The 26,551-nt window shown below is 47.8% G+C and overlaps 1 protein-coding gene across 3 annotated transcripts in view, besides 3 other annotated features; it reads left to right on the top strand.

Annotated features, from left to right (window-relative positions):
* SH3PXD2B (SH3 and PX domains 2B) overlaps positions 1-16,502 on the top strand; it is a 129,345-nt gene extending 112,843 nt beyond the window's left edge. For 2 of the 3 annotated variants that reach the window (NM_001017995.3, XM_017009351.2), the window contains one exon: positions 1,767-8,184. In NM_001017995.3, the coding sequence (NP_001017995.1) occupies positions 1,767-3,314 (1,548 nt within the window). In that variant the 3' untranslated portion in view covers positions 3,315-8,184. Of the gene's footprint in view, positions 1-1,766; positions 8,185-16,302 lie in introns of those variants that run through there. The other variant, NM_001308175.2, reaches the window with a different exon arrangement.
* Positions 4,925-5,786: an enhancer, noted in NCBI's record as "H3K4me1 hESC enhancer chr5:171762901-171763762 (GRCh37/hg19 assembly coordinates)". NCBI's record gives its function as "activates a minimal SCP1, AML or CMV promoter by ChIP-STARR-seq in primed H9 embryonic stem cells {active_cell/tissue: H9 hESC(primed)}" and the evidence as "EXISTENCE:reporter gene assay evidence [ECO:0000049][PMID:30033119]".
* Positions 25,754-25,843: an enhancer, noted in NCBI's record as "active region_23634". NCBI's record gives its function as "activates an Ori minimal core promoter by ATAC-STARR-seq in GM12878 lymphoblastoid cells {active_cell/tissue: GM12878}" and the evidence as "EXISTENCE:reporter gene assay evidence [ECO:0000049][PMID:35858748]".
* Positions 25,874-25,963: an enhancer, noted in NCBI's record as "active region_23633". NCBI's record gives its function as "activates an Ori minimal core promoter by ATAC-STARR-seq in GM12878 lymphoblastoid cells {active_cell/tissue: GM12878}" and the evidence as "EXISTENCE:reporter gene assay evidence [ECO:0000049][PMID:35858748]".

The following is a 26,551-nucleotide window of genomic DNA, read 5'->3' as shown; positions in this document are numbered from 1 at the left end:
CGAGACTCTGTCTCAAAAAAATAAATAAATAAATACCTGAGACTGGGTAATTTATAAAGAAAAGAGGTTTACTTGACTCATAGTTGGGCATGCTGTACAGAAAGCATGGTGCCAGCATCTGCTTGCCTTCTGGGGAGGCTCAGGGAGCTTTTACTCAGGGCGGAAGGCAAAGCAGGAGTAGGCACATCACATAGCAAGAGCAGGAGCAAGAGAGAGTGGCAAGGAGACACCACACACTTTTAAACAACCAGATCCCATGGGAACTCATTACCAAGGGAAGGACACCAAGCCATTCATGAGGGATCTGCCCCCGTGACCCAAACACCTCCCACCAGGCCCCACCTCCATCATTGGGGATCACATTTCAACATGAGACTTGGGTGGGGACATACATCCAAACTCAGCCCACCTTAATGATCCATTTTAACCTTAACCACCTCTTTAAAGGCCCCATTTCCAAGTACAGTCACAGTTGGAGGTATTGGGGGTTAGGGCTTCAACATACGAATTTGGGTAGGGGGACACAATTCAGCCCATAATAGCGAGCACACCTTTCACCTGTGTGAATTCAGCCACGCAGTGCTGGACAAAAAAGAGACAGAGAACAAGATCTTAGACAACATGAGTGATTCCACCCACCATTCCAGCCAACAGGCGTGTATCCCACAGGGAAGTAGGGACACGATGAAAATCTACTCTACTCCACCAGCTCCAGGTCCCCTGTATATAAACACGAGCATCTCTTTGAGCTGACTGTGATTCCTGTGTTCAAAGATAGATATTTTTCAGGCCAGGCACAGTGGCTCACACCTGTAATCCCAGAACTTTGGGAGGCCGAGGCAGGCAGATCGCTAGAGACCAGGAGTTCGAGATCAGCCTGGCCAACATGGTAAAACCCCATCTCTACTAAAAATACAAAAATTAGCCAGGTGTGGTGGTACATGCCTGTAATCCCAGCTACTTGGGAGACTAAGGCATGAGAATCGCTTGAACCTGGGAGGCGGAGGTTGCAGTGAGCTGAGATCATGCCACTGCACTTCAGCCTGGGTGACAGAGCAAGACTCTGTCTCAAAAAAAAGGTAGGTCTCTTTCATGTGTTGTGGACTCTATAAATGCCAGCTAACTTCTTCATCCGATGCTCAGCCAAAGAAGCCAGGATCAAGGGTAGCTCTGACTTCTGCCTTGTCTTTAGAATTGTAGCAGACGCTGCCGGTGCCTCTGATCCACCTGAATTCACCTGCGCCTACACACAGGTCCCTGCAAGCCGACAGCTTCCCAGAAGGGGAGAGGAGTTAATACCCTGGGTAGGGAGGAGCTGAGAGTCAATAGATAAATGCACGCATCCCCAGAGGGACCCGTTCTGAGGCACTGTCTTTGTGGTCTCTCAGAGGGTCCCTGGCAGATCAAGCCCCATGGCCCCGAGCAATAACTTGCTCATAATTGGCCTCTCCCTTTCCCTTCTTTCTCTGTCTACTTCCTTACTTGTATTTCCTAGGACCAACTCTCAAATTAAGTACCTATACCCAAGGCCACATCTCATGGACTGCTTTAGGGGGAGTCCCATACGACAAGACTCTCCCCCCATGTAAGATATTCCCGGAACATGGTAACATCTCCATTGGTGGTCCCTGTAGACCTTGTCAGAGGAGCTGCTGAGTACACAGTGACAGCTTCTAGAGCTCCAGTTGCACATGGGTTCTGCCAAACCATTCCATCTGCTGGCCCTGGCATCGTAGCCAAGTGCCTTTCTCTATCCTCCCTTGCAGGTGATCGAGAAAAACTTGAGTGGCTGGTGGTACATTCAGATTGAAGATAAGGAAGGGTGGGCCCCGGCCACCTTCATTGACAAGTACAAGAAGACGAGCAACGCGTCGAGACCCAACTTTCTGGCTCCCCTGCCCCACGAGGTGACCCAGCTCCGGCTGGGGGAAGCAGCAGCGCTGGAGAACAACACGGGCAGCGAAGCCACGGGCCCCTCCCGGCCCCTGCCTGACGCACCGCATGGTGTCATGGACTCGGGGTTGCCATGGTCTAAAGACTGGAAGGGCAGTAAGGATGTCCTGAGGAAGGCATCTTCAGACATGTCTGCGTCAGCAGGCTACGAGGAGATCTCAGACCCCGACATGGAGGAGAAGCCCAGCCTCCCTCCGCGGAAAGAATCCATCATCAAGTCGGAGGGGGAGCTGCTGGAGCGGGAGCGGGAGCGGCAGAGGACGGAGCAGCTCCGGGGCCCCACTCCCAAGCCTCCGGGCGTGATTTTGCCGATGATGCCAGCCAAACACATCCCTCCAGCCCGGGACAGCAGGAGGCCAGAGCCCAAACCTGACAAAAGCAGACTGTTCCAGCTGAAAAATGACATGGGGCTGGAGTGTGGCCACAAGGTCTTGGCCAAGGAAGTGAAGAAGCCCAACCTCCGGCCCATCTCCAAATCCAAAACTGACCTGCCAGAGGAGAAGCCAGATGCCACTCCCCAGAATCCCTTCTTGAAGTCCAGACCTCAGGTTAGGCCAAAACCAGCTCCTTCCCCCAAAACGGAGCCACCTCAGGGCGAAGACCAAGTCGACATCTGCAACCTCAGGAGTAAGCTCAGGCCTGCCAAGTCCCAAGACAAGTCCTTGTTGGATGGGGAGGGCCCCCAGGCAGTAGGGGGCCAAGACGTGGCCTTCAGCCGAAGCTTCCTCCCAGGAGAGGGGCCTGGCCGCGCCCAGGACAGGACGGGCAAACAGGATGGTCTCAGCCCAAAAGAGATTTCCTGCAGAGCCCCTCCGAGGCCAGCCAAGACCACAGATCCTGTGTCTAAGAGCGTGCCTGTTCCTCTCCAAGAGGCTCCCCAGCAGAGACCTGTGGTCCCACCCCGCAGACCACCTCCCCCAAAGAAAACCTCTTCGTCATCCAGGCCGCTCCCAGAGGTCAGAGGTCCACAGTGTGAAGGCCACGAAAGCAGGGCAGCTCCCACCCCAGGCCGTGCTCTCCTCGTCCCTCCAAAAGCCAAACCTTTTCTCTCCAACTCTTTGGGGGGCCAGGATGACACGCGAGGCAAAGGCAGCCTGGGGCCATGGGGGACCGGCAAGATTGGAGAAAACAGGGAGAAAGCAGCTGCAGCCTCTGTCCCCAATGCCGACGGCCTGAAGGACTCTTTGTATGTGGCCGTGGCCGACTTTGAAGGAGACAAAGACACCAGCAGCTTCCAGGAAGGGACAGTGTTTGAAGTCCGGGAGAAGAACAGCAGTGGCTGGTGGTTCTGCCAGGTCCTGAGCGGAGCCCCTTCCTGGGAAGGGTGGATTCCTTCCAACTATCTCAGAAAGAAGCCGTAGCCGACTCCCTTTCTGCCTAGAGGGCCCGCTGGTCCTTGCTGGCTTTACCCACGTATTTAATACGCCTCTTAATTTATCATTCTCCACGCAGCTTCCAAGGCAGACAGACTCTGGGGTACTGTGACTTCTTGCCTCCCATGGGTGGAGAGTGAGTTTCGGACACCTCGGGCGCCCCTGGGCCTGATCCCTCCTATCACAGCATCACTGGAGGCTCAGAACCCACAGCCTTTGCTTTCTGTCCATGTCAGCATCCCTGCCTTAAGAGAACTCCTCCTGGCCAATGGCATTGCCACCCAGCAGTGGGACCAAGACTCTCCAAGACCTCCAGGACTGGATCCCATTGCCTGGAGAAACTCCAGCAAGGGTCTCTCATGGCTTGGACATGGCACAGTAAGGGGCAGCCAACCCAGTCCATGATGACTTTTGCTCCAACTTCTTCATGTTTCTAAAAGCCCAGTGGCTTTATTCACTCCTCCTAAATTGCCTGCTACCAGAAGGAACTTCATCCTGAAGAAATGCATTCCATTACCAGTTCCAGGGAAAGTGTCCCCTTCCCCAAAGCCTCAGGCCCGTGGGCCTCTGAGGTTCCACTGGATGCGGCTCCCCCAGGAGTGGGCCTGGAGATCCGCTCAGCCGCCCTGCCTCCCACCTTCTATCTTGGGACCGTGGTCAGCCCTGAAGGGTGGTTCCAGCCCCGCGTATGCTGCGCTTTGCTGCTGCAGGCTCCGGTCCCTCCAGGGCTTTTCAATGAGAGTTCCCACCCCAACTTGGAGCATTTCATTTTTGCCTACCTAAAGCAAGAATCTCAAAGTTTGTTTGAATAAGAGGCCCATTCACAAGTCGTGCCCTTGTGAGCACCCCTTTGCTGAGTGCCTCGTGGGTGCCAAACACTGTACTTGGCGCTTTGCATTCATGCTTTGACCCTCACAACCTCCCTTTATAGATGAGGAAATTCACGCTCCATGTGCCCAAGGACACACCAGCCAGGAGGAAGAGGGAAGAGGATTTGAGTCCAGGCCTGCCTGACTTCAGTGCCTGTGCCCTCCCCTCTGTAAAAGACAAACCAGGCAGGGAAGAGATAGAAGCTGGCTAAGTGGTGGCCAAGTGGCTTCATTGTGAGGGGGGTGAGGGGGCATTCGTGGCTGCTCCCACACCCACCATCCCTCCAGCCCACAGCAGCCTATACCAAAGGCTGCCCTGGACTCAACAGCTGCATCTCCATGACAGGAGAATGCCAGGGTCCTGGTGGTTGACACAGAGCCCTGTTCCCTCTTCTAAGCTGTTGCCCCCTGGGGAATAGAGCTTATGGAGCAACGGGAGCTGAGGTGGCCTCGAGGGCCAGCCTGGAGGGCTCTGAGCATAGCATGCAGCGGTCCCATAGGGAGGCAGGTAACCAAGGGCCAGGCAGAGCTGCTTCCTGTGCCTCTCCGGCATTTGTAATGTTTTTTTCTTTTTTCACGCACTGCCAAATCTGTTTTCTCCCTTGAAGAAACCCAGGGCAGATGTGGTCATCTGTCAAACTGAGGTCTGGAGAGGCATGACTAAATCACTGCAGAAGCAAAATCAGGACCCAGCATTTCTAGCTCCCAGCCCAGAGTAAGAGAGCAGAGCAGAACCCCTTCCCATTCTACCCGACCGAGGCAGCCCTGCCCTGCCCTGCCCCGCCCCTCCCCACCCTGCCCTGCCCCAGAGATCTCCAGTTCACAGTGTTCATCAGGCGAGATACTTTTGGACCCACAAAGCCAGTTTTTTGGGGGGATGCTCAGTGTCTACCTGCAGTGCCAAAGTTTTGCTTGAACAGCCCTCTTCTGCCGCGCCTCCCAGCTCCACCCCCTATCACGTGGGTGCTGGCTGCTTCTGCGTGAGGAGCTTCCTCTGATCACCTGTAGCATCTTTAGTGCCTTCGTCCAGTCGGCCTGCAAATCCCATTTCCCAGAGAGGCTTGGGCAGGGCCCACTTGCCACTTGGCCCTGTGCCCAGAGCGTTGGGGGCAGATGGCAGCCAGGGGAAGAAGGGAGGTGGGGAAGGGCCGCCACCGCTTGAGGGTCCCCTCCCTTGAGAGGAGGCCCCATGGCAGTTTTCCTGAGTTCTTGATCCACTTTGGTTTAAACAACTTTTGTGAAGCTATGTGAGATTTGACTGCATTTCAAAAGACAAAACACATGTTTTTTTCTGATTTGCTCTTTGCCTTTCAGCGACGCTTTCAGATACTTTGTGAGTGTCTACTCTGTGCTAGGTGCTGAGTAGACTGGGATGTGTGTGGCTCCATCCCTGGCTGGAAGAGCTTTGAGTCCTGTCTGCTGACTTCACTGAAGGAGTTTCTCTCTTGCTTCATTCCTTCCTCCCGGGGGTCAGCTGGGTAGGAGCAGACTTGCCCTGCCTTCCTCTAGGCAGAAAGTTTTCCTGCAAATGAAAGAATCTGCCATTCTCTTTTGCTATGATGATGATGATTATTCTGACATGACCCGCGGGTACTGAAGCCACAGTCCTCTCTGTTCACTGTTCTCTCCTTGAGTCATATCTATGGCCTGAGGACGTCTGTATCCAGCTCCTTTTCCTACAATGGTAGACACTTCCCCAGGCAGTGGGTGGGTCAGGGTGGCCAGTCACTCTCCTAGCTGTCCTTGCCTGGGGACTTAGATTTACCCCATCCAGGACTGTGGTCGCTATTCTGTGAGCGATTGATGGCGCATATGCAGAACTCCCCTGGAGTCATGGCTCTAGAAAGTGTCCAGGCCCATCGTGACAATGGTGCCAAGCACCGGGCTGGTGACCAGTGCCTAAACACACACGCTCCTTTAATCCTTACGGCAAGCCTGTGAGGCGGATAGGACCAGCCCTGATCTATAGTGAGAAAATTAAGGTTCAGAGGGAGAAGGTCCAAATAGTGGCCAAGCTGGGACTGAGATCTCGAGTTTGGGTTTGTTTGGTTTTGTTGTTGTTGTTCTTTCCCTCGTGTCCATGACTTTTCTCTGCCATTAGCAGGGAAGTGTGCGGAGGGCTTCCAGGGAATCAAGTGACCCTCCCTCTGAATTTCGGTGCCTCTTCCCCCCGCCCCTTGCTCACACATTTCAGTAGGTCACAGGCCAAATGGCAGCCCAAAAGGTGGGCAGAGATTTTTTTTTCTTCCCCTCACCCCTGCTTATTAACACAATTGTGACAACTACTTTACCTTACATCCCAGGGCAAACGGACAGCTTGCGGTACCTCCAAAAATTTGGAAAACCCTGAGTCTAAGACCACCTCTTGATAAAAGAGGCCTTTGCTCACATGTTCTGCTCGGAATCTTTCTTTGCCATTGGTGGGTGTATGTCGTCCCAGCTGAGACTGCGGGAGAGCTGAGCTCCAGCTTAAACCGCTTTTAATGGCCCTTCCCTACTGGGGGATCGCTGGAGCCCATGCCAGGTTACGGTAGTCATTTTAAACCTCTGCCACAAGGCCACGCCATAGAATCAATTTCCAAGTCAATGTTCTTGGCCCTAAAATGTTTGCGCCCACTGAGGATTTCATTACCAGGTGGAAGATGGGGGAACATATGCCACGTTAAAGAGCAAGTGCTGAGTGTGCCAGGACTTGAGAAGGACCTTAGGCTGAGGAGTGGACAGTCTGGTATTTATTTCGCCTCTCCCAAGTACCCAGCACAGAGTGGGAAAAAGAAGAAACTGCTCCTGCCTTCCAGTAGCTGGCAACTTGACATCAAGAACAAAAACATTCGTAGCTGGACCCCCGTCCTTTCATCGTGCCCAAGTCTTACATGTTGGCTTAAGCTGCCCCCTTGGAGGCCGTACCTTTCTCTTTGGACTGTGACAGTGGACACCTAACAGCCTGAGCCATGTGTGGCTGTCTTATCCCCCAAGGGTTGTCCAGGCCCGTTCTGCAGGGCTGTTGTGTAGACTGCAGACATCCATACCTCACCACAGACCAAAGATGACCTCGTGTCAGACTGTGGGCTGATGAGAGGTAGAGCAGCATGCATCGAGGCCTGAGGGTGCAGGGCGCCCTCTCTTGGCCTGGAGGAATTGCTCCTAACTAGAGTAAGTTTCCACGAGGGTCCCAGGCAGAGCTGCAGAGCTGGAACCGGAGGCTCCACAGTCCTTGCCTGCTCATGGACCTCCTTCAGAGCACCTTTCTACAGACTGGACTGCCCAGCTCCGTGGGGTGGCATCTGGTTTCTGGTGCTATTCTGCCAAGTTATCGAGCTCCTCCTCATGTTTCAACATTCCATCTTCCCGTTTCTATCCTCGACTCCAAAGTAAGCCTTCTTAGCTCCAATCAGGGATGAGGGGCTCAACCTCTTCTGTCCTCAAAGAGGCCAAACGCAGTGCCACAGTCGGTAGCCTTCACTTTTAGATGTCCTATTCATGTAAAAAAGAAGGTGCCCCCACCAGGCTTACATCAGCAATAAGCAATTCTAATGCAACGATGGTGTCCACATTTTACCCCAGTGTGTGCCCATGTATGCCTTTGTGCCCGTGTAATTATTGTTAGCGCCCCTTTCACTTAGAGGGGTGATGATAAACTGTGGCCACCTTGATTACAACCCACATTTCCTGCTTTGGGGAGCTTCCAAGTAACAGGCCATTTCTTACCTCCCTCCAGGAACAGTGGGCACTGCCCACCACCTCGTGTCTGCTCATAGGATGACGCTGGAGATCCCCACACTTACTCTACCCTCTTGGCAAATTGGCATTCCGGTGGTGGTTTTTGTTTCCTTTAACACATTAAATAAATGAGTATATAGGATGTGAGGGGAGGGGTGAGAACAACTAGCTGTAGCATGTGTAGGCTATATACTTTACCATTTGACTTCTTTCCTTTTTTTTTTTTTAAATAAAAAAAGTGCTTGACTGGTTTCAAGCTTCATCATGAAGATGCAGTGTCTATGGATTTTATTTGGCAGGAGAAAGGGTACATAGCTTTGTGGCCTGGGATCTTCGGGATCAAAGAACAGAAACCTATGCCAGCTATGTTTGGGAACTGTGGAGAAATAGGGGCGACCCCTCTCTGGGCCATAGTGCACCTTCATTCTCTTAACTACAATGTCCACAAACCAAGGGAAAGCTTCCTTTATGTCCAAAGGATGGTGAACCTCTTGCCGGCATTGCCTCCTGATGGTCAAGAGTGTGCTATGGAGGTCCAGGCCCAGTGGCTCACACCTGTAATCCCAGCACTTTGGGAGGCCGAGGCGGGCCGATCACCTGAGGTCAGGAGTTCGAGACCAGCCTGGCCAATATGGCGAAACCCCATCTCTACTAAAATACAAAAATTCGCCGGGCGTGGTGTCGGGCGCCTGTAACCCCAGCTACTTGGGAGGCTGAGGCAGGAGAATTGTTTGAACCCGGGAGGCGGAGGTTGCAGTGAGTCGACATCACGTCACTGCGCTCCAGCCTGGGTGACAGAGTGAGACTCGGTCTCAAAAAAAAAAAAAAAAACATTGTGCGGTGGGGGTTTGGGGTGGGAAATGCAGCCACATTTGGGCCGCAGAGACTGCCCAAGCCATCTGCTCCTGGGAGGTGGAGCACACTGCCTAACGTTTTACTACTTTCCCAAAGGCAGTGCCCAAGCAAAATCAACCCCAGTGTGGAGCCTCCTTGTTCCCAGGTGACTAACAGGACACCACCACCCCACCTTCCTAAGGAGAGAAGAAAACCAGCAGAGTCCCCGAACAAAAGAACTTGGAGGGAAGGGATATACATGCAATATTCATGCTTCTTTAGAGGAAACAATATAACAACCTTCTTGCAGACCTTGCTTAGGAATAATGGTCATTAATATATTAATCTGTGTCCCCATTAGAAGGAGAAAAACAGAAGGTGTGGTGGCTCACCCGTAATCCCAGCACTTTGGGAGGCCAAGGCAGGAGGATCTGTTGAACCCAAGAGTTTGAGACCAGGCTGGGCAACATAGCAAGACCTTTCCTCTACTCAAAGTTTAAAAAAAAAAAAAAAGTAGCCAGGTGTGGTGGTGCACACCTACAGGCCCAGCTACTTGGGAGGCTGAAGTGGGAGGATTGCTTGAGCCCAGGAGTTCAAGGCTGCAGTGAGCTGTGATCGCACCACTATGCTCCAGCCTGGATGACAGAGCAAGACTGTGTCGCAAAAAAAAAAAAAAAGGAAGGAAAAAGTCATGCGGTGTTCTGGGCCCCCATAGGAGCAGGTTCACCCAAGTTCTTGCAAACCAAGAGTGCTTAATCATAACAGGACTGGCAATGGTATGGGCTTTCCGGCTGGGGCTGGAGGGGCATCCGCCTCATGGGATGGGACGGCAATGGGACCATGATCAGGGACCAAACCTGGCTTTCTCTTTGCAGTCTACTTGCCCTCTCACTACATTTCTGTCCCGTGACCTTCCTTCAGGTCTCACCTGGAAGTGTCACACTCGCCATTCCCTATCATATTGTTTTTTGTTTTGTTTTGTTTTTTGAGACAGAGTTTCACTCTTGTCACCCAGGCTGGAGTGCAATGGCGCAATCTTGGCTCACTGCAACCTCCACCTCCCAGGCTCGAGCGATTCTTGTACCTCAGCCTCCTGAGTAGCTGGGATTACAGGTGTGTACTGCCAGCTAACTTTTGTATTTTTTATGGAGACAGGGTTTCACCATGTTGGCCAGGCTGGTCTCGAACTCCTGACCTCAGGTGATCCGCCCGCCTTGGCCTCCCAAAGTGCTGGGATTACAGGCATGAGCCACCGTGCCCAGCCCCGTCATACTGTTTTAACCACGCCAAACATGATCCAGCTGCCTCACCCTCTCATACCTGCAAACACTCCCTCATCTAAGGTGAGTTTCTGAGTCCAAGATTACCATCACGGGGGCACGCTTCTCCAAGTCCTTGGTCTTCAATGTCCATTCCTTCTCTCATTCAGTATTATTTGGGCCACATGAGATTCTTCAGCGTCTTGCAACTCACGCTTCCTAATCAATGGCTCTCAAATTTTAATGACCTTAATGATTCACCAGGGAGCTTGTCGAAAGACAGATTCCTCAGCTTCACTCCCTAAAAGTCAAACTCAGCAGGAATCAGCATCCTGAGAAATCCATTCTGAGGAAATAATCCGCATGCTCCACCCTGAGAAATGGCCGGGCTTTGCACCTTACCTGGTATAGTCTACATGTTCAAAAATTATATTCTGTGCTATTATTATTATTACCATTTATTTTTATTTTTATTTTTTTGGACAAGAGTCTCGCTCTGTCGCCCAAGCTGGAGTGCAGCGATGCAGTCATGGCTCACTGCAGCCTCTGCCTCCCGGGTTCAAGCGATTCTCCTGCCTCAGCCTCCTGAGTAGCTGGGATTACAGGCGTGGGCCACCATGCCAAGCTAATTTTTGTATTTTTAGTAGAGACAGGGTTTCACCATGTTGGCCAGGCTGGTCATGAACTCTGGTCCTCAAGTGATCCACCCACCTTGGCCTCCCAAAGTGCTGGGATTGCAGGCGTGAGCCACCGCGCCCAGCCAGGATCTAACTTTTACTGAGTACATGCTAATAGTTGAGAAGTTTATAGATGTTATCTCTTTTAATCTTCACTACAGTTCTTACAGATAGGAAATATTACATCCATTTTATGGGTGAGGAAATTAACAGTCTGAGAGATTAATTTACCCATGGCCACAGCTAGTAAGAGGATGAACTTGGGCATCTGAGCCCCTTACCATAAGTTCCCGAATCTATAATCTTCCCACTTAGCATTTCCCAAAATGTTTTTCAGAACAAATGTCGATAGGAATTTGGAAATAAGTGTTCTGAAGGTACATTAGTTTGAGAACTGCTGTTTAAAGTCTATTGCAGGACTTCTTATGTAAGCATAATCAGCCTCTTACATACTAGTGTGCAATGTGAATGTCTGAGAGGGGGTTTACTTACACTGGGTTTCTCAAATGTATTTGACTGTGATACCATTCACAGAGCATCTATCAGGGGCAACGTTTCATGTAATAAACTCTGGAAAATGTCCAATTTTAAATTTCAGCTCTGCCTTGCATTCTACCTGAACCATAATGCCTGTCTAACCTTAGCCACATCCTTCACCCAAATTCTGTTTGTAACTCACTGCAACAGAGAGCTGCTCACTGACTTCAAGCTTTCCTACTTGCTATTGCTCTACCTTGGAGTTGTCTGTAAGGATTTTCCCATACAAATTGAGCATCCCAAAATATAAAGACCCAAAATTGAAATACTCCAAAATCTGAAGCAATGGCATGACATTCAAAGGAAATCCTCAATGAAGCACTCAGATTACAGATTTTTTGATTAGGAGAGCTCAACCGGTGTGTATTCTGCAAGTATTCCAAAATATGAAAAAAAATTGATACCCACAACACTTCTGGTCCTAAGCATTTTGGATAAGGGAAACACAACCCGCAGTGAGATTGCCACATATAGGAAACTTCAGAAAACAGCCACCAGGCAGGGAATTTTTCTATCTCCTAAACACGTTTTCCTTTAGAGACTTGTAAATTAATGGCAGTGTACAGAACATACATATTTTATTAATAAGGCCCAGGTTCATCCCCTCTTAAGATCCAGGAGGCTGGCCGGGCACAGTGGCTTACGCCTGTAATCCCAGCACTTTGGGAGGCCGAGGCGGGCGGATCACGAGGTCAGGAGATCCAGACCATCCTGGCTAACACAGTGAAACCCTGTCTCTACTAAAAATACAAAAAATTAGCCGGGCGTGGTGGCGGGTGCCTGTAGTCCCATCTACTTGAGAGGCTGAGGCAGGAGAATTGCTTGAACCCGGAAGGCGGAGCTTGCAGTGAGCCGAGATCGCGCCACTGCACTCCAGCCTGGGTGACAGAGCAAGACTCCATCTCAAAAAAAAAAAAAAAGAATAACAAAGATCCAGGAGGCCCAGATCCTACAATAAACTATGTCCTCATTCCCTTCCAGCTGCGTGAAACTTGGCCTCCAATACTTCTACAGTATAGTACAGAATAGTGAACTTCAGTTTTCATTGCATACCCCTCAATAAAAATGTTAATATGTGACCAGGTGCAGTGGCTCATGCCTGTAATCCCAGTACTTTGGGAGGCTGAGGTGATCGGATCACTTGAGGTGAGAAGTTCGTGACTAGCCTGACCAACATGGTGAAACCTCATCTCTACTAAAAATACAAAAAAACTTAGCTGGGCATGGTGGCACGTGCCTGTAGTCCCAGCTACTCAGGAGGCTGAGTCAGGAGAATCATTTGAACCGGGAAGGTGGAGGTTGCAGTGAGCTGAGATAGCACCACTGCACTCCAGCCTGGACAACAGAGCAAGACTCCATCTCAAAAAAAAAAAAAAATATATATATATATATATATATATACACACACACACACATACATATATATACGTATATGTATATATGTATATATATGTGTGTATCTATACATGTTAACATGTACAAAATACATGGATTAATAAATAAATGTCATGTACAATATTGTTACGTGGGAAACTCTTACATACACCCATGCTTGGTTTGTTCCCTTCCATGTGAATGGAGCTGCAATCACAGTAAGGCTCCAGCTCTCTCTCTCCCTGGGAAAGAGTGACTGATATTTAGGGGAGCAGGAAGCAGGTATGCACAGCTCAGCCTCTCTCCTACTAGGGATCAGATGGCCCAGGGACGCATATTCCACTGGGCCCCTAGCTGTGGGAGGAGGCCTGTGCCTGGGTCAGTGAGCGTGTCTTAATTCTTGGATTCAAGCTTGAGACACCATGACTGCCAGGCACCACACCTAAGCCAGATTCTCCCACGGCCCTCTCAAGAATAAAGCTAACATTTTGTTCTCTATCTCTCAGATCCCACTCTCTCAGTTAATTCTGAACTCAGGGGAGGAGAACAGGGAGCTATTTATTAGGATTCTTAAAAACTGTCTACTGAGGATGGAAGTGGTGGCTAACACCTGTAATCCCAACACTTCGGGAGGCCAAGGCAGGAGGATCATTTGAGGCCAGTAGTTTAAAATCAGCCTAGGCGGCTGGGTGCGGTGGCTCACACCTGTAATCCCAGCACTTTGGGAGGCCGAGGCAGACGGATCATGAGGTCAGGAGTTCGAGACCAGCCTGGCCAATATAGTGAAACCCCGTCTCTACTAAAAATGCAAAAATTAGCCAGGCATGGTGGCACACGCCTGTAGTCCCAGCTACTCGGGAGGCTGAGGTGAGGCAGAGGTTGCAGTGAGCTGAGACCACGCCATTGTACTCCAGCCTGAGTGACAGAGTGAGAGAGTGAGACTCCATCTCAAAAAAAAAAAAAAAAAATCAGCCTACTAGGCAACGTAGCGAGATCCCATGTCTATAAAAATTACAAAAATTAGCCAGTTACAGCTGGGCGTGGTGGCTCACGCCTATAATCCCAGCACTTTGGGAAACCGAAGTGGGTGGATCACTTGAAGTCAGGAGTTCGAGACCAGCCTGGCCAACATGGTGAAACCCCATCTTTACTAAAAGTACAAAAAGTAGCTGGGCATGGTGCCACATGCTTGTAATCCCAGCTACTCGGGCGGCTGAGGCAGCAGAATTGCTTGAACCTGGGAGGCAGAGGTTGCACTGAGCCAAGATTATGCCACTGCACTCCAGCCTGGGTGACAGAGTAAGACTCCATCTCAAAAAAAAAAAAAAAAAAAACCCAGTTGCAGTGGTATGCACCCGTAGTTCCAGATACTCAGGAAGCTGAGACAGGAGGGTCCCTTGAGCCCAGGAGATTGACACTACAGTGAGTTATAATCATACCACTGTACTCCAGTCTGGTTGACAGTGAGACCCTGCCTCTAAAATAAATAAACTGTCTATTGGCTACTGGTTAGGCCAATTTTAGTTGATTTGTTATGTATTGTAATAAAATACATATGCAAAATTGAGCGTGCCTGAAGGATATGCTAAAAAATACACAATGAAAAGAGCAATGGTTCAGTGTGCCCCAGTGGCTTGTCTTATATACCCGCTGGGATTCATGGAATCCACTTTGTAGACCACTGACAAAGGAACAATTCTGGGCTTTAGGGTTAGACCTGGGTTTGAGTTCTGGCTCTGACATGCATTTTACCTTTCGAAAACGATGTCCTCATTTATAAAATAGGGACAATAGTGCCTTTCTCACAGAATCGTTGTGAAGATTAATGGAAATAATGTATACCTAGCACATAGTAGGCCCTTCTAATAGCGCATAATAATTTTTATTGTTTCTATGAAGAGTAGAATCTTCAGATTAACAATCTTCAGGCCAGGCGCGGTGGTTCATGCCTGTAATCCCAACACTTTGGGAGGCCGTGGCGGGCGGATCACCTGAGGTCAGGAGTTCGAGACCAGCGTGGCCAACATGGTGAAACCTTGTCTCTACTAAAAATACAAAAATCAGCCAGGCTTGGTGGTGGCGCATGCCTGTAATCCCAGCTACTCAGGAGGCTGAGGCAGGAGAATCGCTTGAACCCAGGACGCAGAGGTTGCAGTGAGCCAAGATCGTGCCACTTCACACCAGCTTGGGCGACAGAGTGAGACTCTGTCGCAAAAAAAAAAAAAAAAATCTTGAGACATTTTCATTGCCTAGTACAGGAGTTGGCAAACTTTTTCTTAAAGGGTCAGATAGTAAATATTTGGGGCTTTGCAAACCAAGGGGCAAAACCAGAATGTTACACAAGTATTTACGTAACTATTCAAAATACAACTGTCTGAAAATGTACAAACCATGTGAAAAGAAACATGCGGCTGGATGGGTTAAGCCCAAGGACTACAGAGCTTGACAACCCCTGCCTAGTATATATTTATCTTCTATTTTATTATTTTTCTCAAAATGGACATCTTTCCAAAGTATGTTTATGGAACACCCTCCCTCAACATGATCATGAAAAGCTGTTCTGTGGCTGAATCCACTTGACAAACACTTGTCTGAATATCCTCCAAATCTCCCTCCTTGGAGGGCCACACACCAGCACATTAAAGACTCCGAAGCCTTCAATTAACAAGCTGTTTAACCTAGTTCAATCCAGTTATTTCCAAAATATCTTTGACAACAGAATCCTCTTTTACATGTAACGTTTATGAACATCCCACAGAACACACTTTGGCATGTATGCTGCTGTAGATCCTACATTTTAAGCATTATTCAGAACTTCACTATATTAAATTTAGTTTATTCCTTACAGTGAATAAATATGAGGAATCTGGGTTGGGTGGTGCATGTTAGTTACTATCCTCAGCGGAGTAACCAGGCCGCTATGGTTCAAATGTGTCCCCTCCTAAATTCAGATGTTGCCAATGTGACATTGGCCTTTAAGTATTAAGAGGCAGGGCCGCCAGCCAGGCGCGGTGGCTCACGCCTGTAATCCCAACACTTCGGGAGGCTGAGGCAGGCGGATCACCTGAGGTCGGGAGCTCGAGACCAGCCTGACCAACATGGAGAAACCCTGTCTCTACTAAAAATACAAAATTAGCCAGGTCTGGCGGCATATGCCTGTAATCCCAGCTACTAGGGAGGCTGAGGCAGGAGAATCGCTTGAAACCGGGAGGCGGAGGTTGCGGTGAGCGGAGATCGTGTCATTGCACTTGCACTCCAGCCTGGGCAACAACAGCGAAACGCTGTCTCAAAAAACAAAACAAAACAAAACAAAACAAAACAAAAAACCAGGCAGGGCCTTTAAGCAGTGACTAGGCCAGGAGGGCCCCTCCCTCATGAATGGAATTAGTTGCCCTCGTAAAGGGGCTTGACAGAGGAAGTGTGTTTCAGCTGCTCTTCTGCCCTGCCAGGACACAGCGATCATCCCCCATTTGCCCTTCCGCCTTTCACCACGTGAGGACCCAGCGAGAAGGCCATCACCACATGCCAAGGCCTTGATCATGGTCTTCCTAGACCCTAGAACTGTGAGAAATAAATCCCTGTTCTTTATAAATTACTCAGTCTGCGGTATGCTGTTATAGACAAACAGACAAAGTCCCAGGCCACGTTAGTCTTTCGTTTGGAAAGGACTGAAGATTTGCTGATTTTTCTCCCTGCATTCATCTAGGATCATAAGAATGTTCACTTGGAGAGCCCTGTGGAAGTCCCTCTTAGAAGAATCAAGATGCGGACAGCACTTGGGAAGCACGTGGCAGCTTCCATGGAGATGTGAGAACCACGTCATGTCCTTGCTGCTGTGAACATGAATTTGCTAAACTGCTTTTACTGTATTTTTTTTTGTCGTGGTAAAATATGCGTAATACAAAACTTACCATTTCAGTCATTTTTAGTATATACTTCAGTAGTGTTACGCACACATTGTTGGACAACCACCACCACCATCCATCTTCAGACTTTTTTCATCTTCCCAAAATGAAACTGTGTGCCCATTAAACACTAACCCCACAATTCTCCTCTCCTCTCCCCCCAGCTCCCTGGCAATCGTCATTTTACTTTTTTTTTTTTTTTTGAGATGGAGTTTCGCTCTTGTTGCTCAGGCTGGAGTGCAGTGGTACGATCTCGGCTCACTGCAACCTCCACCTCCCAGGTTCAAGCGATTCTCCTGTCTCAGCCTCCCAAGTTGCTGGGATTACAGGCATGAGCCCCCACACCCGAGTAATTTTGTATTTTTAGTAGAGATGAGGTTTCACCATGTTGACCAGGGTGGTCTCGAACTCCTGACTTCAGATGATTCACCCGCCTCGGCTTCCCAAAATGCTGGGATTACAGGCGTGATCCACCGCGCCCAGCCCATTTTACTTTCTGGCTCTATAAGTTTGACTACTCTAGGTACCTCATATAAGTGTATGTCCTTTTGTGCCTGGCTTATTTCCCTTAGCATAATGTCCTCAAGGTCCATCCATTTTGTAGCATGAGTCAGAATTTCCTTCCTTTTTAAGGCTCAGTAATATTCCATTGTCTCTTTAGACCACTGTGTTAAGCCATTCTTGCCTTGCTATAAAGGAATATGTGAAACTAGGTAATTTATAAAGAAAAGAGGTTTAATTGGCTCACAGTTCTGCAGGCTGTACAGGAAACATGGTGCCAGGCATCTGCTCAGCTTCTGGGGAGGCCTCAGGAAGCTTGCAATCATGGCAGAAGGCAAAGGGGGAGGCGGTGTCTCACATAGCAAAAGCAGGAGCAAGAGAGAGAGTGGGTGGGAGGTGCCACACAGTTTTAAGCAACTAGATCTCATGAGAACTCATTCACTCAACGACAGCACCAAGACATGAGGGATCCTTCCCTTTCTTGCACGTGTCTCTCTTGTCGTTCTGCTTCTGCCACAGGATGATACAGCAAGAAGGCCCTCGCCAGATTCAAGCCCCTTGACCTTGGACTTCCGACCCTCCACGACTGTGAGAAATAAATCCCTATTCTTTATCAATTACCCAGCCTGTGGTATTCTGTTATAGCAACACAAAATGGACTAAGACAACAGTTTTTCAAATTTGAGTTTGTACCCACCCATCTTAAAGATAACAAAATTCTTATAGATTCCCAGTGTTTAGACTTAAATGATTTTAAATTAATGTATATTATATACATAAGCCAGACAGACATAAACATGTTGCCTTGTAGCTACTATGCAAGTAAAAAATGAATACTGGGCCAGGCGCAGTGGCTCACACCTGTAGTCCCAGCACTTTGGGAGGCCGAGGTGGGCAGATCGCCTGAGGTCAGGAGTTCGAAACCAGCCTGGCCAAAATGGTGAAACCCCTTCTCTACTAAAACTACAAAAATTAGCCAGGTGTGGTGGCGCATGCCTGTATCCCCAGCTACTTTGGAAGCTGAGGCAGGAGAATCCCTTAAACCTGGAAGGCGGAGGTTGCAGTGAGCCGAGATGATGCCACTGCACGCCAGCCTGAGAGACAGAGCAAGACTCTGTCTCAAAAAAAAAAAAAAAAAAAAAAAAAAAGAATACTTTCACAGGTTAAACACAAAGCTGACAGAGTTTACCTTAACATTAACAGGAGACCTGATGGCGCTTTTTATTTTTAATTCATACACACACACACACACACACACACACACACACACATATACACACACATACATATACTGATTTTTTTCAGCTTTGCTGAAATTATATCTCCACTCACACGGACAGGATGGAGGCAACCGCATTGGAGTAGATTTTTTGGAATCAATCTGCCTATATATTCTGAGTATTGTGATGACTCATTTTTCTCTAATGGAAATACTGGGAAAACCTTTGTTAAAGCAGCATATCGTGGTGCATTCAACACTCATTTGGCACAAATATATCACTAACATATGACGTCGGACCTGATTCTTTTCTCCTTAGCTAATGAAATTTGAAGTCATAGCCTGAGACCCTAATTCACTTGCCAGCAGAAATCAGTTGTTGGGGCCAACGTTCAGATTCTCCAGAATATACCTATCCATCTTTTACTTATTTTGTTTTTATAAATGTATGAGGTACAAGTGTAATTTTATTACATGGATAAGTTGCATAGTGTTGAATTCAGGGCTTTTACCAATCTGTCTTTTTTAAAATGTCATTGAAATGGAAACTCAGAATTTAAACATTCTCATAGAGAAGGGTTTTTTCCATTTTTTTAAAAATTTATTCTCATAGGGAGGTTTTATATCCAACTTAAGAAACACTATGGGGCAGGCGTGGTGGTGCATGCCTGTAATCAATGGGCACTGAGGCGGGAGGATCGCTTGGGCCCGGGAGTGCCAGGCTGCAGTGAGCTATGATCATGTCACTGCACTTCAGCCTGGGTGACAGAGCGAAGTTCCTTCTCTAAAAAACAGAGAAGGAGAGGGAGAGAGGAAGAAAGGAAGGGTGGGAGGGAGGGAAAGAAGAGAGAAGAAAGAAGAGAGAAAGGAAGGAAGGAAGGAAGAGAGAGAGAGAGAAAGAAAGAAAGAAAAAGAAAGAAAGAGAAAGAAAAAGAAAGAAAGAAAGAAAAAGAAGAAGGAAGGAAGAGAAAGAGAGAAAGAGAAAGAAAGAAGAAGGAAGAGGAGGGGAAGGAAGGAAGGAAGGAAGGAAAGGAAGGAGGAAAAGGAGGGAGGGAGGAAGGAAGGAAGGAGAGAGATAGGGAGGAAGGCAGGGAAATAAAAGAGAGAGAAACTCTGTCATCCTGTTTAATCCTAAACTTTCCTTTAACTCTGCCAGACTCTGGGATGAATAGGCAGGTGCTCTCTGGTTGAAAAATCTCTTTGCCACCAGCCTCCCCACTTCCTGTAGGAGCCTGTCCATGCATGGAGTGTGTCCAGAGCTTTGTGTGTATTCCGGAAGTCATTCAGAAACTGCTGCGATCACCCAGGGACTCACTTTCACACCGGGCTGGCCCCAGGAGCACACAGCAGCAGTGTGTTAAGAGATACCTAAAGCTGCTCGTGGAAAACTTCATTTTTACCCAAAAATTGGCAATAGGAAAAAAAAATGGGGAATAGAGATTTAAGCAATTTAGCCAGTAAGTTATTTTCAATATTTTCATATTAAAACAAACAAGAGTATATTATGCAGTAGAATTCAAACCTCACCTGAAGTTTTAAGATAAAACTTCAGACTTGAAAGAAATGTTGACTGCAGCCAGCTGCATCAGGCCAGGCCCCAGGGCCCAGGCCCCTGAGGGAACCTGAGTAAGTCAAGTTTGAGAAATCAAGTGATTAAGTCCTGCCACTGGCAAATAGGGTAAACACAATTAGGAGACTTTCTCTTTCCAGGTGTACTCTACTCTGTAAGCTTATTATCAGTCTAAACCAGATGCCCTGTGGGGAATCAGCTGTAGAGATTCTCAGGAAGAGAGAAACTCTCAAATCCACTCTTTGCTAGTGCTGTAAGTAAAGGAAGAAAGGGTTTATTTGTCACTACATATTACTTATGAGTAGGAACTGAACAATGAGAACACCTGGATGGACACAGGGAAGGGAACAACACACCCTGGGGCCTGTAGTGGGGTGAGGGGAGAGAGAGCATCAGGATAAATAGCTAATGCATGTGGGGCTTAATACCTAAGTGATGGGTTGACAGGTGCAGCAAACCACCATGACACATGTTAACCTATGTAACAAACCTGCACGTCCTGCACGGGTATTCCGGAACTTAAAATAAAAGGGTTTGGGCCGGGCGCAGTGGCTCACGCCTGTAATCCCAGCACTTTAGGAGGCCGAGGCGGGCGGATCACGAGGTCAGGAGATCGAGACCACCCTGGCTAACACGGTGAAACCCCGTCTCTACTAAAAATACAGAAACAAAATTAGTCAGGCGTGGTGGCGGGCACCTGTCGTCCCAGCTACTCGGGAAGCTGAGGCAGGAGAATGACGTGAACCCAAGGCGGAGCTTGCAGTGAGCTGAGATCACGCCACTGCACTCCAGCCTGGGTGACAGAGCAAGACTCCGTCTCAAAAAATAAATAAATAAAATAAAAACATTTGTTTGTAAAAGCAAATACTGGCTTGAGCCTAAGAGTTTGACACTGTGCAACATGGTGAAACCCCATCTCTACAAAAGATACAAAAATTAGCTGGGCCTGGTGGTGCATACTTGTAGTCCCAGCTACTTGGGAAGCTGGGGAGGATCATTTGAGCCCAGGAGGCAGAAGTTGGAGTGAGCTGAGATCGTGCCACTGCACTCCAGCGTGGGCAACAGAGGGACATTCTGTCTCAAAATAAATAGGCCAGGCACAGTGGCTCACACCTGTAATCCCAGCACTTAGGGAGGGTGAGGCGGGTGGATCACTTGAGGCCAGGAGTTCCAGGCTGCAGTGAGCTATGGAGTTTGAGACCAGCCTGGCCAACATGGTGAAATCCCATCTCTACTAAAAATACAAAATTAGCCAGGTATGGTGGCACGCACCTGTAATCCCAGCTACTCGGGAGGCTGAGGCAGGAGAATCACTTGAACCTGGGAGGCGGAGGTTGCAGTGATCCGAGATCACACCATTGCACTCCAGCCTGGGCAAAAACAGTGAAATTCCATCTCAAACAAACAAACAAACAGAATGAGGAAACTGAGTCTAGAGCCTGTCTGGACAACCCTGAAACCTCCATCTTCATGAAGAAGAACACAAGAACAACTAACCTATTTCTGGAACCCACTCTGGGCCAGGCTTGTTTCTGGCAAGTTGAAGAAATGAATAAGAGAAGTCCACAGTCTAGCCAGGAAGACGCCTACTAATAGCCACAGGGGACTCTGGGGAGAGTTATGAGAACATTGGCACGAAATGTCCAAGGGGTACAGAGCAAAAAGGAAAATCTGGCTGGGTGTGAAGGTTGTGAAAAGCTGCCTGAAAGGCCAAAACTATGGGACCCAGCAGATGAGGACACTGTTTCCCAAACGGAAGCTGGTTGAGCAGCACCATCGCAAATATTGCTGTATCCACAGCCCAACTTTACCAGCATTTACTTAATATTTCCTGCTAAATAGATTAACTCAAAAGGTAAATATGTTTCTTTAAAAGCAAGCTTTATATCTGTGAAAATAATTGGAAAACTTTTATAGGGTTCCATAATTAGAAGGTAACTGTAAAAGTAAGTAAAATGAAAGTGAAATGGTATCATTGAGTTCCAGCTAAGTATAGCTGCCTATTTAAAAAGTTCTGACTCTGAGGCCTGTTCTCTCTAGAGAGATGAGCATGTTTTAAGGAGATGTTAAAGACAAGCTAACACTAGACTCAGACTTTATACTTTTTTGTTTTAATAAAACAAAATAATGGCAAGACTACTGTAAATGGTAATAACTTGCACATTGTAACCCAGTGTCATTTCACCTTTCCCACACTTTAAAATCACCCAAATCACCTTTCCCACACTTTAAAATCACCCAAATCACCTTTCCCACACTTTAAAATCACTGGATTAATTTTAATACTTTTGTTAGGTCTAGAGGACACAGGACTATTTAACCAGAACACAGACATGATGGGAAATGTGAATAAGTGGACATGGTACTTAGAAGCTGGCAGCCAGGGAGAATTAAGTACATTTTCATAATTGTGAAGTGAAATCTAAACAGAACCACCCCATTTGATCACCCTTTTCTGGATTTAATAATGCTCAATGAAGTCTATGGCAGAAATAATTTTTTATTTCAACTGAAATTCTTTTATCTTCTTTTCATAACACTACTGAATTACAGTAAGATGTTTTTGAACATTTTGTGTGGAAGGGAAACAAAAGGGAGAATTCCACATAGAGACTGTTGCTATAGGCCGGGCACGGTGGCTCATGCCTGTAATCCCAGCACTTTGGGAGACCAGGGTGGGCGGATCACGAGCTCAGGAGTTCAAGACCAGCCTGGCCAACATGGCGAAACCCCGTCTCTACTAAAAAAAATACAAAACTTAGCCAGGCGTGGTGGTGGACGCCTGTAATCCCAGCTACTTGAGAGGCTGAGGTAGGAGAATCGCTTGAACCCAGGAGGCTGAGGCTGCAGTGAGCCGAGATCGTGCCACTGCACTCTAGCCTGGGCAACAGAGCTAGACTCTGTCTCAAAAAAAAAAATTTGTTTTAATTTAAAAATTTTTTAAAAAGAGACTGTTGCTGTAAAACTTACCACACTGCCCTGTAATCCTGTGTTTATGTGTCTGTCTACCCCACCAGACTGGAACCCTCCAGGCAGGTATCTCATGTTACTTTTCTGTCTCCGGAGTACCTGATAGAAGACTTAACACATTATAATACTTGGTGTTTGCTGCATGAATGAGTCCACCCAGTAGGGTAGTAGGAGGGGAAGAAAATTATCAAATACCCTAGTACATTTCTTTTTTTTTTTTTATAGCTGGAATTTTGCTCTTATCTCCTAGGCTGGAGTGCAGTGGCAAGATCTCGACTCACTGCAACCTCCGCCTCCTGGGTTCAAGCAATTCTCCTGCCTCAGCCTCTCTAACAGCTGGGAATACAGGCACCCGCCACCATGCCCAGCTAATTTTTGTATTTTTAGTAGAGACAGGGTTTCACCACGTTGGCCAAGCTGGTCTCGAACTCCTGACCTTAGGTGATCTGCCCGCCTCGGCCTCACAAAGTGCTGGGATTACAGTTGTGAGCCACCACGCCCAGTCCCTAGTACACTTCTGATTTATGTTTTCTAAATGTGAGACAATGTAATATGGTAACCAATTTGAGTTTCGGCAGATCTAAATTTTTGCCCTTAACGTGAAGACATAGTAGCACCTGCCTCATGGGGTAGTATAAGGATTACATGAGTTAATAGATGTAAAGTAGCTAGAAAGTGCTAGCACTGAAGTAAACTTCAGTTGATAGTAGCCTATCATTATCACTGTTATTGACATAATTTTAATAAAATTCGTTTGTATATAATTAGCTTTTGCTTACATATATTAATTACATGTCTGCATACATATACACAGACACACACATGAATTATCAAATACTTATATATGGTGGACATTTGTGATTTTAGCCACCCGTAATCTATTTTCCTTTCTTCAGGTAGTATTGCCCTCATTTTCCTTTGAGGAACCTCTTTTCCCTCTACTCTCAATCCATGTGATTTAGATGGGGCTAGCCTCACTCCTTGGTCCAAGAATGGGCATGTGAACCAGACCTCGCCAACCAGTACAGCCCAGTCTCCTGGCTACAACACGTGGCTCAGTCATGGACAGATGACCCAAGCCAAACCAATGAGACTTGATCCTTAGACCTTTGCTGGAGATTCTGAGGAAGAGGAGCTCTTTTTTTTTTTTGAGACGGAGTTTCACTCTTATTGCCCAGGCTGGAGTGCAATGCACGATCTCTGCTCACTGCAACCTCTGCCTCCTGGGTTCACCCGATTCTTCTGCCTCAGCCTCCCAAGTAGCTGGGATTACAGGCGCGAGACATCACGACCGGTTAATTTTTTGTATTTTTAGTAGAGACGGGGTTTCACCATGTTGGCCAGACTGGTCTCGAACTCCTGACCTCAGGTGATCCACCACCTCTCTCCCACTCCGCCTCCCAAAGTGCTGGGATTACAGCTGTGAGCCACCGCGCCCAACCTTGGGGAGCTCTTTTCTACTGTACTTGCCAAGCTGGCTGAATTTAGCCTACAGATGCTAGTAACCATATTGGTCATCTCAAGCGCAGAGCTTGCAGGAGAACAAAGCCTAATACAAAGGAAAGCAGAACAAAAATAGAGTGTAGGTGACACTGTTTGAAACTCTGCATCCAGCTGTGCCTGAAGGTGAATCAATGAACCAGCGATTTTCTTAAGTGACTGGGTTAAGTTTCTGTCACTGGCCACAAAAGAGTCTTAATAAACATATGGATTCAGGGAGCATGTTTATTTTCAATTTTTTTTTTTTTTTTTTTTTTTTTTGAGACGGAGTCTCACTCTGTCACCCAGGCTAGAGTGCAGTGGCGCGATCTCGGCTTACTGCAAACTCCGCCTCCCGGGTTCACGCCATTCTCCTCCCTCAGCCTCCCTAGTAGCTGGGACTACAGGCGCCTGCCACCACGCCCGGCTATTTTTTTTGTATTTTTAGTAGAGACGGGGTTTCACCGTGTTATCCAGGATGGTCTCCATCTCCTGACCTCGTGGTCCTCCCGCCTCAGCCTCCCAAAGTGCTGGGATTACAGGCGTGAGCCACCATGCCCGGCCCAATTTTTTTTTTTTTTAACCAGGCTGTTGCCGGGCACCGTGGCTTGTGCCTATAATCCCAACTCTTTGGGAGGCCGAGGTGGGCAGATCACCTGAGGTTGGGAGTTTGAGACCAGCCTGACCAACATGGAGAAACCCCATCTCTACTAAAAATACTAAATCAGCCAGGCATGGTGGCGTATGCCTGTAATCCCAGCTGCTCAGGAGGCTGAGGCTGGAGAATCGCGTGAACTCGGGAGGCGGAGGTTGCGGTGAGCCGAGATGGCGCCATTGCACTCCAGCCTGGGCAACTAAAGCAAAACTCCACCTCAAAATATATATATATAACAAAATAAAGTCAGGCTGTTAAAGGAAAAACTTGAGCTGAATTAAATTTAAGAGAGTTTAATTGAGCAAAAAACAATTCACCAATCAGGCAGCCCCAGAATCACAGTAGATTCAGAGAGACTCCAGGGATGCCTCATGGTCAGAACAAATTTATAGACAAAAAAAGGGAAGCGACATACAGAAATCAGAAGTGAGGTACAGAAACAGCCGGATTGGTTACAGGTTGGCGTTTGCCTTATTTGAACACAGTTTGAACACTCAGCAGTGTATGAGTGGTTGAAGGATGGCCACTGGGATTGGCCAGGACTCAGCTATTGTTACAGGCGCATACTCCTAAGTTAGGTTTTCAATCTTGTCTACTTACTAAGTTAGGTTGCAGTTTGTCCACAAAGACTCAAATAAAGACGTACAGAATCCTTCTCAGGCCATATGTAGTTTGGTTTCACAAGGCCTATTTAGAGATTACAAATTTCACCAAGTCCATTGAACAACTGGGTATTAAGGGCATTGTGGGGGTGTGCAGGGGACCATAAAGATGAGTAAGACTGTCCCTGACCTCAAGGTTCACCTCTAGAAGGGAATATAGACAAAGCAACTCCACTTTACAGTCATGCTGTTACCGGAAAGGGGTCTCGGTCCCCAAGAGAGGGGTCTCGGTCCCCAAGAGAGGGTTCTCGGATCTCACGCAAGAAAGAATTCAGGGAAAGTCCACAGAGTAGAGTGAAAGCAAGTTTATTAGGAAAGTAAAGGAATGAACGAATGGCTACTCTATAGACAGAGCAGCCCTGAGGGCTGCTGTTTGCCCATTTTTATGGCTATTCCCTGATGATATGCTAAACAAGGAGTGGATTATTCATGCCTCCCATTTTTAGACCATATAGGGTAACTCCCTGACATTGCCATGGCATTTGTATACTGTCATGATGCTGATGGGAGTGTAGTAGTGAGGATGACCAGAGATCACTCTCGTGGCCTTCTTGGTTTTGGTGGGTTTTTGCCGGCTTCTTCACTGCAACCTGTTTTATCAGCAAGGTCTTTATGATCTGTGTTTGTGCTGACCTCCTATCTCATCCTGTGACTCAGGATGCCTTAACAGTCTGGGAATGAAGCCCAGCAGGTCTTAGCCTCACTTTACTCAGCTCCTATTCAAGACAGAGTTGTTCTGGTTCACACACCTCTGACAATATCACGATCCGTGTTGCACTTGAGAGATTATGAGCACAGTAGAAGAACAAAGACAGGGAAGATCAATTCTGACCCAGGGTTGTCTGGGAGAGAAGGGAGTGTGGGTGCTTTAACTGTACAATAATTTCCAGACATTTAACAGTGCTCTCTTGCCTGGATTCTGGAAGTCATTCTGAGAATGCCTGTTTTCATTAGATTTTAATCACCCACAGGTCATATATTCCTTTAACGAATG

The sequence above is a fragment of the Homo sapiens genome, chromosome 5 (assembly GCF_000001405.40).
Source record: "Homo sapiens chromosome 5, GRCh38.p14 Primary Assembly".
Lineage (NCBI taxonomy): Eukaryota > Metazoa > Chordata > Mammalia > Primates > Hominidae > Homo > Homo sapiens.
This window is presented reverse-complemented; position numbering and strand designations above follow the sequence as displayed.